Genomic DNA, 12430 nt, shown 5'->3' with positions numbered 1-12430 from the left:
TCCCACTATCTCTGCAAAGGGTTCCCCAGTATTCCAGCTGGAAGTACTTTTGAATGGATTTCAACAGATATAGTAGGTACCACTCAACTTGCCCTTCAATTTAGCATTTTGTATTTTAAAAGTGCACTTCAATGGCTTTATTTTTCTTAATTGTAGCCAATGCAGTGTCTTGCATATAGTAGGCACTTAATAAATGCTTGTTAATTTTTCCCCAAGGGGCAGGGTTGGCTGAGAATGGATGTTGGGCAAAGTGGGCTTCACTGTGGTCATATTTTAAGTATGATGTTGGTTCTAAGTATAGGGTGAGTTTTTAAACTCTGAATGGTTAACTTATCACAAATGCCTCTTGCAGATCACTCCCAGTGAGGTAAGTGGTTAATAACAGCTTGACTAGTAAATGCTAGTGATTTAAAAAAAAATGTTGGCCAGGCGCGGTGGCTCAAGCCTGTAATCCCAGCACTTTGGGAGGCTGAGGTGGGCGGATTACCTGAGGTCAGGAGTTTGAGACCAGCCTGACCGACATGGAGAAACCTGTCTCTACTAAAAATACAAAATTAGCCAGGTGTGGTGGCGTGTGCCTGTAATCCCAGCTACTTGGGAGGCTGAGGCAGGAGAATCGCTTAAACCTGGGAGGTGGAGGTTGCGGTGAGCCGAGATTGCACCATCGCACCATTGTGCCATTGCACTCCAGCCTGGGCAACAAGAGAGAAACTCCATCTCAAAAAAAAAAAAAAAGTTAACTGAAGAGGATTAAATTTATCATACTTCTGAGTTAATGGTAAATTAGCATCACTGTTATGTGCACGGTTCCTTTTATTTGGCTGTTTATTCTTTTTTGTCCCATCCCCATTTCCTATGGCCAGTCATCTAATGTTTTTAATATGCATCTTTTCATTGTGTGGTGTTTGCAAAATATAAGAATAATAATAAACACTTATATAGAACTTACTTTGTGCCAGGCTTTGTTCTAAGTCTTTTATGTGTAATCCTTCATTTAATTCTCATAACAACCTTATGAATTACTTACCTTTATTATTCCCATTTAATTGATGAAGGAACTGAGGTATAGAAAGGTTAAGTAACTTGCCTAAAGTCACACAGCTAGTAAGCAACGGAGTTGGAATTTGAACCTAGGCAGTTGAGCCCTGAAGTCCATGCTCTTTTTTTTCCTTTTTTCTTTCTTTTCCTTTTTTTTTTTTGAGGTGGAGTTTCGCTCTTGTTGCCCAGGCTGGAGTGCAATGGCGTGATCTCGGCTCACTGCAACCTCTGCCTCCCGGGTTCAAGAGATTCTCCTGTCCCAGTCTCCCGAGTAGCTGGGATTACAGGCACATGCCACCATGCCCAGCTAATTTTTGTACTTTTAGTAGAGATGGGGTTTCATCATATTGGTCAGGCTGGTCTCAAACTCCTGTCCTCAGGTGATCCACCCACCTCGGCCTCCCAAAGTTCTGGGATTACAGGTGTGAGCCATCATGCCGGCCAAAATCCATGCTCTTAATCACCAACCACACAACTGAAATGTATCCTGTGCTTTGTGTGTATGTATTTTTAACTTCTTAAAATGGTATTGTATAAATAACATTGTCATAAATCTTGCTTTGTTTCTTACTTTTCCACTCAGAACTTTGCCTTTAAGAAGCATCCATGTCGCTACGTCCACTTGTGATCCATTCAGCTGATTGCTGTACCCCAGGGTGAACATCTATCACATTTTCCCTCTCCACTCTCCCAGGGATGGTACTCCAATTTCCTGCCTCCACAAATAATGCTGCAATGAACATCCTCCCTCAGGACTTGTGGGAGAATCTCTCTGGGATCTAAACCATGGTTTTTCTTCATGAACTAAATGTGTGCCTTTTACGAAACATGAGGCTGGTAAATGTAGAACAATTTTTTTAAAAAAGTGACTTATGCCATAGCAGTCATGTTTCAGGCACTGTTCCAGATGTAGGATCATCTCAAAGTGAAACAAAGGTATTCATTTACATGAAATCAGAATCCTGTTATTTACTAAATAATCACTTGGTTTATGTTTATTTACGCACTCATGTGCTAGTATTGGAAGGCTGACATGGCATAGCTAAGGCATACTTGCTCCCAGCATAGTAAGATGATAAGGGCTTGGATTTGGGGTGACATTGGTGCAGAGGTCAGATTTGTTGCTTGCACCTGTTTGAATAGCGTCAAGTTCCTTAAATGCTCCAAGGCTCAATTTTCTCATGTATAAAATGGCAATAATTGTTTTTTGTGAAGATTCAATGAGATAGTGTATGTAGAGAGCCTAACACAGAGCCTGGCATGAAATAAGCACTCACAAAGGTAGGATAATCCCTCCCCTTGGAAAGCTCCCAGAAGAGTGGAGGAGCTAGATGCAGACCCAGATATTCACAATGCAGTGTGTAAAGTGGTAGTGCAACATGGGCAAAGTGCATGGGAGCACAAGAGAAAGACAGTGAATATTACTAATTGCCATTGATTTCATGCCTACCTTGTTCTAGATACTGTCTATATATGATTTTATTTTTTCTGGCTCTCTAAGGTGAACTCACTATTTCTATTTAATAGAATTAGAAACCAATGCTCAGTGACAACTTCCATTCAAAATCACTTATCCAGTTGTTGTACAGAAAATTTGAATCCCTCTCTAGCTGATTGCAAAGTCTGTGTTTGTTTCAATGACACCAAAGAAAAGCTAGCATTTGGTCTGGATCATGAAGAATGAGCAGGCATTTTCTAGGTAGACAGAATATGCAAACATTTTCCTTGGCACCTTGACTTTGGGGTCTTTCCAAAGAACTGGATTTTTTTATTTATTCATTATCATCACGTGTGTTTACCCAGAACTTACTGTGGCTGGATGGTAGAAGTGCAAAGACTAAGAGATAAGGTCTCTGTCTTTCAGGGGTTTATAATCTCTTCAGAGAGATTGACTACATACACATACACCCCCCATAATCAGATGGATAATGATACAAGGTTGCATAAGTTACATGCCAGGGAAACACTACTGGTATCAAGTGAGTTCAGAGGAGGGAGAGATCACTGAGGGCTTAGTGGTCAGGGTGAGGACTGAGAAATAGGTGGGACTGCAACTGGGGATTGACATGGGGAGATTGGGTTGGACACTTGGAGCAGGCACAGTAGTGTCATAGGAAATGTAAGGGTTGCATTCAAAAGGGGAGCACATTACTTTGAATTTACGGAAAGTCAGATTTTACTCTTAAAATTCCTTGAAGTATACCACAAAGTATAAGCTCTCATATCAATTCTGTGATGTGCATGTGGCTTCTGTCTTCAAGTTCAGCACGGTCACTCTTCCCTACAGAGTTAGTATAGATTGCTACTTCTTTGGACTACATAGCCCCTTCTAGCCTTCACATTTCTATAGTTGGTCTGTGTTTGGGATGGTGTTGAACAAAAATAGCATTGCTTTAGTCACTGGAGTCAAATCAGCAGGGCAAGATGTTTGTACTACCAGATCCATGAGGCAACTGAAGGCTGGTGGAGGAGCAAGGAAGGTGGGCCTTCACGTCTGTGGACTGTACTTTGGCATCACTGAGCTCTCAGCTTTGCTGAGGACAAGCCCAAGTGAGCTTGACGCTGGAGGAGTGATCATGTCTACATTCAGATGCCCCTAGCTATGCTGGTCTCAATGCATGTCAAATATTGAAGAGCGAGGATGAGGTGCTGGTGTTGAATTAGAGGAGAACAGTCAGCAGCAGAATAAATATTATTCACAAGGAGACACCGTCTGTGTTTGTCTCATGGGCCAAACAGGGGAATGGAGGAATGATTGGAGTGGTGGGAAGATTGCATAAGGCTGAATTCTAATCGGTTTAACTTACTTAAGATGTGACATTAGTGTAAAAGTAGAGAGAGAGGAACTCATATAAGTATGTCTGGGTTTGTTAGGAGGAGAGGATTTGCAGAAACAGAGGTGCATTTGGAAGAGACATGGTGGTGGAGGATTGTGCTAAGTAGGATAGGATTTTGGGCTCAGTCTTCTAGTGTGACAGGTGTCTTTGCATATGCCTGACCAGGGGATTCTCCTTTAAAGAGAAAAGTTTTAGGGAGATTAAATATGACAATTATGTGTATGCTAGTTTGGAGGGGGGCTCAAAACTAGATCCTGGGACCCCAGTTGGAGGTTGATATGATTTGGATCTGCATCATCCCCAATGTTTGGAGGTGGAGCCTGGTAGGAGGTGATTGGATCATGGAGGCAGAGTCTTCATGAATGGTTTAGCACCATCCCCTCAGTGCTCTTCTCATGATAGTGAGTGAGTTCTCACAAGATCTGGTTGTTTCAAAGTGTGTGGCGCCTCTCCCTACCCTCTCTCTTCCTCCTGCTCTGGCCATGTAAATTACTGGCTCTTTCTTTGCCTTCTGCTGTAATTGGAAGCTTCCTGAGGCCTCTCCCAAAGCAGATGCTGCCATGCTTCCTCTACAGTCTGTGGAACTGTGAGCCAATTAAACTTCTTTTCTTATAAATTACATAGTCTCAGGTATTTCTTTATAGCAATGCGACTAATACAGAGGTGGTGGCAAAAGTCTGTTGAGAGGCAATAAAAGCCTGGAAATGATGATGAAAATGAAGGGGAATGAGCACAAAGAGAGGTGTTATGAAGAATCGGTGGGCTTCACAAGCCTGAAAGCCACTGGGAAAAATGATATCAACATCACACCAACTCCAAAAGAAATGCAGACTCCCCTCTCTCTCTTTCCCTAGTCTATGTAACTGGCATCTTTTATCGGGGTTGAAGGAAATCATTAATATCCTACTTCTGATTCTTCTCCTAGTTAAAAATCAATTGAGGAAAAAAAATGTAGAATTTAGATGAAGGCAAAATATTGGATTTTCTGCTGCTAGCAGTGGACTGGAGGACACAGTTTTGAACCATTGCCACACAGGGTTTCTATCCTTTTTTCTTAAGCTGAGATGTTGGGACAACCCACCATGGGGAGAGTCTGGGTCAGTGATTGCTCTGGCCAACTGTGGGGTCCCCGATGGTGTGGACGGAGAGGCTACATGTGAAGGAGGCATGTGATGTAACCCATCTGGGGAGTAAATGTGGATTCCTCCCACTCATCCAAGCAGATGTCTGGATTCTCCACGTTTGGGAAGTAAGAAAGGGGTGGGAGGGGTCAGGAGTTGTACTCTGTGGGAAGGACACAGTAACATGCAGAAATGCAAGGAGAAGGAAACGAACTTACCTTCACATTGCTGGACATGATTAAAGGTGAGAATAGAATTGGAAATAAAATTTGTGGGCTCATTAAATAAATAACCCTGTGGGTTATTTAATGAACAGGTTTTGTTCCTTTGGAGGGCAGAAGTGAAATTGCTTACCAGCAATCCTGGGAGGAAACAGAGGATTGGTGACTGGTGTTGAAGAAGTGGCCTCATGAGGGTGTCTGGGTTAACCACCGGCGACTCCACCATGGGGACTCCACACCCTGCATTCAGTCTTAGTTGGCCACAGCCTGGATGCTTCAGCCTGTTGAACTGAGAAAACAATATCTTTGGAGTCATAAAAAAATCATTTTCTTTCTCTTTTGTTTTGTTTTGTTTTTTCTGCCTTGATCCATGAAGTAGGAATTTCCACCTTATGAAGAATGGAAGACTTGGGAGGAAAGCCCCTGTCCTTTTACCCTGTCCCTACCCTGGCTGGGAAGAAGGTCATGGGGTGTGGAGTTCAGCCCCTCTGGGTCTCTCTTTCCCAGCAACCTGTCCTCAGCACTTGTCCCCTCCTTGCCCCTCTGTCTCTTAGATTCAGTAGGGCTGCTCTGCTCTTTGGAGCTAGGGGAGGCCTGGCCTCCTTGTTGGCAAATCAGTTCTGGTCATGGGTCAAGGCAAATTCTCCAAGGCAGCCTTTTTGGAAACATAGCTGATCATTTCAGCTCTGTAGATCTGAGTCTGTCTCCTCAATGGGTTCAGAACCCGTAAGGGAAGAGGTGTGACTAATTAGCATTATCCCTTAAATTCTAACATTCTTTTTGAGGAAAAATCCTAATTTTGAGATTCTTTGGAATCATCTTTCCTTCTCCCGACCTTTCTTTTTCAAATACATTTACCAAATGGAATGACCACTGTGTGTTTGGCACTTAGGTTAAGTGTTTTGTCTTTTCTCTTAAATAGCTATGATTGGCTCTAATGCAGTGTCTAGGCAGTGTCTTGCCACAGGCAGCTCAAATGGACACATGTGCCACAGATATATAAGACACTTGTAGAACACACTTGAATTCCAGGGTGTATGAAGAACTCTGTAGGTCGTAGCAGTATATGGTCATATGAGTGTGTGTTCATGCATATACACACCTACCACATGCACACACTACCACATGCATGCACACCTACCACACATACAAACCATGCATACCCCCCACCACATGCATGAACACACACCCTATATACTTATACACCACACACAGACAACACACAACCACACACACACACACACACACACACTACCATATGCATGTACACCTACAAAGCCATACATGCATGTATGCATGTGCACATACAAACCACGCATACCTCCCCACCACATGTGTGAACACACACCATACTCATACACTGCATACAGACAACACACAGAAACACCATGTGCACACACTACCATATGCATGCACACCTACCACACATACAAACCATGCACACCCCCACATGCACATAAACACACCATATATACTCATACACTACACACAGACAACACACACAAACACAGACACACATGTATCATACATGCACCGCTGCATCACACACCCTCCAACACACCTAGACACCATGCATACACACATACCACACACAAACTACACACGTACAGACCATTCACACAAACACTCCCTACTCCATCTTACACACATGTGCATATGCACATACCACAAGCATATGGATGTAACCCCAGGGCCTCTGCAGAGAGAGCTGTGGAAAGCTCCAAGACACATTCTGTCTCCCACTCTTAATCTCTCTCTCCATCCCTCTCCTTTTCTCTCTTAATCCTGGGGTGTATATATAAAAGACTACACAAAGCACACACACAGAAACAGAGCAAACCTCTGGACTCATGGAAAAACAACTGCCAACAATCTGGGCAGCTAAGGCTTTGTGCATAACACCCTACTCCTGAGGGCCCCCTCCCCTCCCACAGGAACACACTCTGACAAAAAAGCACCTGCCCCTAAGCCAGGCGTCTTTCTTTCCTTTTGCCTTTGATTAAGTCTCACAATAAATGGCACACCAAGGGGTGCAGCATTACGGTGTCATTAAAGTGAATATTTCACAAGTGAGTATTGCCTGAACGAGATGCTTCTGATGTTTTTATTTTCATCAAATCTTTGAGGCCAGCAGATGGAAAAAAATTTTTGTAGCCAGAGCTTAAGGAGGTAGGCTTCACCAGAGAAGCAGGGTGGTCAGGCTACAGTGAGCCCTGACCCAATTTCCTTAAGAAAAGGGAAAAGAGTCAAAGTGCTCGATGTGTAATCAATAAGCAGGGCACATAGGATGAAACACACACACTCCCCCACACACACACACATGCACAGAAGGATATTTCTACCTCAGTTCTTTTTAAAGTAAAAAAATGGTGGGAATACAGTTTACTCTAAAGGAACCCTTTGAATGTGTATCATTTAGTGAATTTGGAGCTTTCCACACCAAGTGCATTTGCTAAAAATGGTCACTGCCCATAGATGAGACATCATCCCATTGCTAATGTCATTAGCAAGCAGAACAGCGGTGCCTACAAAGCTCAGAGCAGAGAAGTGATACCCGGGGGAACCACACAATGCCAAATAAATGTGAGATGATTGACTGTTTTCATCACTACCTCCGCAGCAGGGTGGGAGCCCATTTGTAAGGGGCTGCCTTGTGCCTATGGGGAGGAGGACCATCAGACAATCCTGTTGCGGTTTCTATTGTCCTCAAAGACACGTCTTCTCCAGGAACAAAGCCCTGGGTCACACCGTTTGTCCTGTAGAAACTCCTGATAAATTTTGCTTTTTAGAAAAGCCTCTTTTCTTTGATTAGCAGTAATAAAAGCTTTCCCTTCGAAATATATGCCCTTACACATTAAAAGCCTGAGATGAAAAATTCTTTGTCATTTGCAAAGAATAGTGTCTCTTTGTGACTTGTTATCTGTTGAACTGGATGTTATAAAGTCTGTCTGAGGGCTCTGATAGCAGCTAGAATATTCTGCCTTGTGTGGCAGACATGTTTGAAGGCATAATTATGGGGTGTGGGTTGGGGTGACCAGCACATTCTCCCAGCCCTACCAGATAGTCGATGGGTTTTGTGTATTCAGGAAACTTCCCCTTCTTTATACTGTTTGAATGGAAATGGGACTGACATCAGGCGATAAGCCGTTCCTGTAATGGATTCCAGAAACTTCTGTTCTTGTCATCTGGTCTGGATTTACAGACAACTCTCTTCTCTTGTTCAACTTTCTAAAATAGAAATTATGGTTGGTTGCAGCCATAAAAATGATGGCATAGTCTTAGACAGGGATCAGTCTCCAAATGCTTTGAAGTGAATAAGGATGCCTTTCTGATTAGGATAAACTGCATCATATTGGAATTCTCAAAAAGCTTTTAAATCGTAGTAAATGTTGTTTTAACAAACAAAAACTAAGTAGTTGAAAGAAAATGATCTTGATTCAAAAACTTACTTGATTTAAGAATTGTAATTCTGAGGGAGGAATTGAGGAGCTATTGTTTAATGGGGACAAAGTTTCAGTTTTGCAAGAAGAAAAGAGTTCTGGAAATGGACAGTGGTGATGGTTGCACAATAAGAGGATGTCTTCAATGCTGTTGGGCTGCACACTTAAAATGGTTAAGATGGTAAATTTGATGTTATGGATATTTCACCAGAATTGAAAAAATAAAGAAAAAATGATAATTCCTATGTAAGTACTGGTGATAGAAATAGAAAATGCAGTTCTGTGTGTGTACTGCATTCAAAGTTTTGCCCTCTAAATGTCTGCTTCTTTTATCTTACAGGAACAGTTTGATTAGACTCTCTAAAACTGACTTATTAATGTTGTTGTGTGGATAAGGCACTGCATATAAGCTTGTGCGATTGCTAATGTGATCTTTTGTTTTAACCTGATGTAAACAATGATGCTCTAACCAAATCTTTAGAGATTTAATTATGCAGGAAAATATTCTTAACCTCTCTCATTCTAAGCCAGTTTGTTTGCTACTCATTTATCTTTAAAAACAAAACCTTTGGCTTCTCTTCTCTTTCTTTTGCTACTTTACTCAGTTCCAGTTACGTGTCATGACACCCTCTCTCCTCATGAAACACTTTAGCCTACACTCTTTATGTGTTGACTTTTTCAAAGATAACATCATTTTGTCAATTGAGAGGCCATTGGTGGTAGAGAAAGAACAATACGTGGGGAGCTGGGAGACCTGGATTTGGTCTGATCTTTTTCACTAGTTTATTCCTTGGAGTCTGAGTTTTCTCATCCATAAAATGAAGACAATAATTATTAGGTTGGTGCAAAAGTAATTGCTGTTTTGGCCATTACTTTCAATGGCAAAAACCGCAACTACATTTGCACCAGCCTAATACCTTACCTTTCTCTGTGTAGAGAAGTTCAAAAGAGAAAATAATGAGAGCTACTATTTACTGAGCACCTACTAGGTGTTAAGCACTGTTCTAAGTAGTTTAGGGGTATCAGTTAATTTAACCTTCCCAATAACATGGTGGAGCTATTATTTCTATTTTTCAGATGAGGAAACTGAAGCACACAGAAGTATAGAAACTGACTAAGGTCACAGAGCTGGTCAGTGGTAGAGCCTGAGTTTGAACCCAGGCAGTCTGATAGATGAGGCTATTCTTGGTCACAACATCATCCTGCCTCTGTACAGATGTGAAAATGAAATGCAAACTACTTTAAAGCATTATGTAAAATGGAATGAGTAAAGAGTTGAATTTTCTAGATTTATTTCCATGGAAAATGTTACAAATGTTGGTTCTGTATCATTAGATCACCTCAGCAATACTCCCTTCCACTTAGAAGCCATAGTTTACCAAGGATGTGAACGATCTGGAACATCTCCTTCATAGCATTAAGCATTCTTGCTGTATGAATAATTATCTGTGTAATTATGTGTTTAATATTTGTGCTTCTATACTGTATACTCCTTGAGGACACGGACAATGGATAGCCTGTGTACCATGATCTTTCCAACAAGTAGCACAATGCCTAGCACATAATAACTGTTTAGTAATAACGAGATCTAACATTTACAAAGAGATTATCACATTCCTGGCACCAAGTGCTTTACATCAACTCATTTAAAACTCACAACAACCTTATAAGGAGGGTTTCCATTTTACAGATGAATAAACTGAGGCTCAGAGCACTTAATTAATATGTCTAAGGTCATGCGGTAGTAAATGGTGGAGTCTGGATGAAACCCAACTATCTGACTCCAGAGCCTTTATCCTATTTCAGTTTCTGATATGTGACAACAGTGGAAACCTGAATCCTTTCTAATGTGGACTTGGAAGCAGAAATGAAACACTGTTGTAACATCCCCCACCACTGGCCCCCAAATGTGTGTTCTTGGCTTTCCAGGCAGGTGTTGAGTGTTGGACAATGGGGATGAAGAGATTGCAGGCTGGGAAGTTGGTGGCCTTTCTTCTGACGTGGTGAAACATTTGTAAACTGTTGCCTGCAACAACCTTGGATGTGAGACCATGGGTCTCCTGAGCCTATACCTCTAGGGGAAGTGGTTGAAAAAAATCAGAACAATGATGTGTGTTGGCTGCTTCTTGATGTTTTTAGCACACTTCTATGATAAGGAAATCTGGCTAGTTTGTAAGCAAAGATGAAAGGTGATTGAGCTGTGCTAAGGCAAGCTCTACTTCCTCCAGCCTAAACTGACGAGGTTCTGATAATGTGGGGTCTTTTTGGACTAAAAACCCAATTTCTTCTATGCTCCACCAAGCAGGAGGAAAGATGCCATCCCAGATCTTCCCAGGAACCTCCACTTCTTTCACTGTTCTTGGGCAATTGGTATGTGGAATGGTCCAGATATATTAGTGCTGAGGGTTGGAAAATTATAATCGTAGCTCCTATGTGCCTGCTACTGGCAGAAGTGCTTGACCTACTTTATCTCATTTATTCTTTCACAATGACCTCTGAAATATTCTTTTAAAATATTTATTTATTTAAATTTTTTAAATTGACAATAACTACATATTCATGGGGGTACATAATGATGTTTTGATACATATAATATATGATAATCAGATCAGGGTAATTAGCAGATCCATCATCTCAAACACTGATCATTTCTTCATTCTGGGGGCATTCAATATCCTCTAGCTACTTGAAATTGTATTGCTAACTATAGTCATTGAGGTAAGTATTCTCACCCCTCCATATGAGATGTTGAGGTAAGTCCAGAGGGGGTAAATAACCAGCCCTGAGTCATGCTACTCTAAGCGGTGGAGCTGGGATTTGAACCCAGGCCCTACTGGTTCCCAAATCTGGGCTTCTCCCCACATCCTGGAATTGAGTTGTCCCACCCACAGCAAGGCAGTGGTAAGGTGGAGATGTGTTGCCATCAAAGCAATGTCTTGGCGGCTCTGCCCTAAGAGGCTGTCCCTGCTGGCACTCATTTTGTAAGGACTCTGAGGTGAGATACTGGTCCATGTTGGAATATTGATGGCTGTTGTTGCAGAGGCCCCTCGCTGCACTGAGAGCCACGGAGGCACATGCATGTTGAGCTTCTTAGCAAGTGACAAGCCCTCATGCTGAGCACAGCAAGACTCTGAAAGCTGAGATTTGCCAGGAGGGCTAAAGAATATTTTATTTCCTCAGGAAAAAAATAATCATTTTTATTGACACCTAGGAGAGAAACATTCCATTTTTATTCATAATTAAGGCATTTATCTTCCATTTGGATGACTGCGGTGGAAGAAAAATTAGATGGGAAGGGTGCTGGCCAGGTTGGGACAGGTGAAATGCAACAAAGGAAATCAGCCTATTTTCACACTGTCAGGTCATCACCATGCATCACTGGTCATCCTGGGGTAAATCCACACCTGTTTGCAGCTAACATTTATTATTCCCTCAGCAACTATGTGTCAGGGTCTGTTCTAAGCAGATCTCTTGGATTATCTCCTTCGTCTTCACAACACCATAAAACTGTTGCTATTGCTACCCATTTTAGAGACACAGAAGCTGAGACACAGAAGGTATAAGTGACTTACTCAAAGCTGCACAGCTAGTAACTGGTAAAGTCAGAACATACACCTAGGTAATACTGCCCCAGGACTTAAACTCTTAGCCATATGCTGTAAGCTCTTTATGCAGTTCCTCATCATGCAGAATTCCTTAGCTCTCAGTCATCACTTAGCAATCCTTGTGCATTATTACTGTCAGATCTTTTGATGAAATATTCTATGTAACCT

Source organism: Homo sapiens, chromosome 12 (genome assembly GCF_000001405.40).
Source record: "Homo sapiens chromosome 12, GRCh38.p14 Primary Assembly".
In the NCBI taxonomy this organism is placed as follows: domain Eukaryota; kingdom Metazoa; phylum Chordata; class Mammalia; order Primates; family Hominidae; genus Homo; species Homo sapiens.
This window is presented reverse-complemented; position numbering follows the sequence as displayed.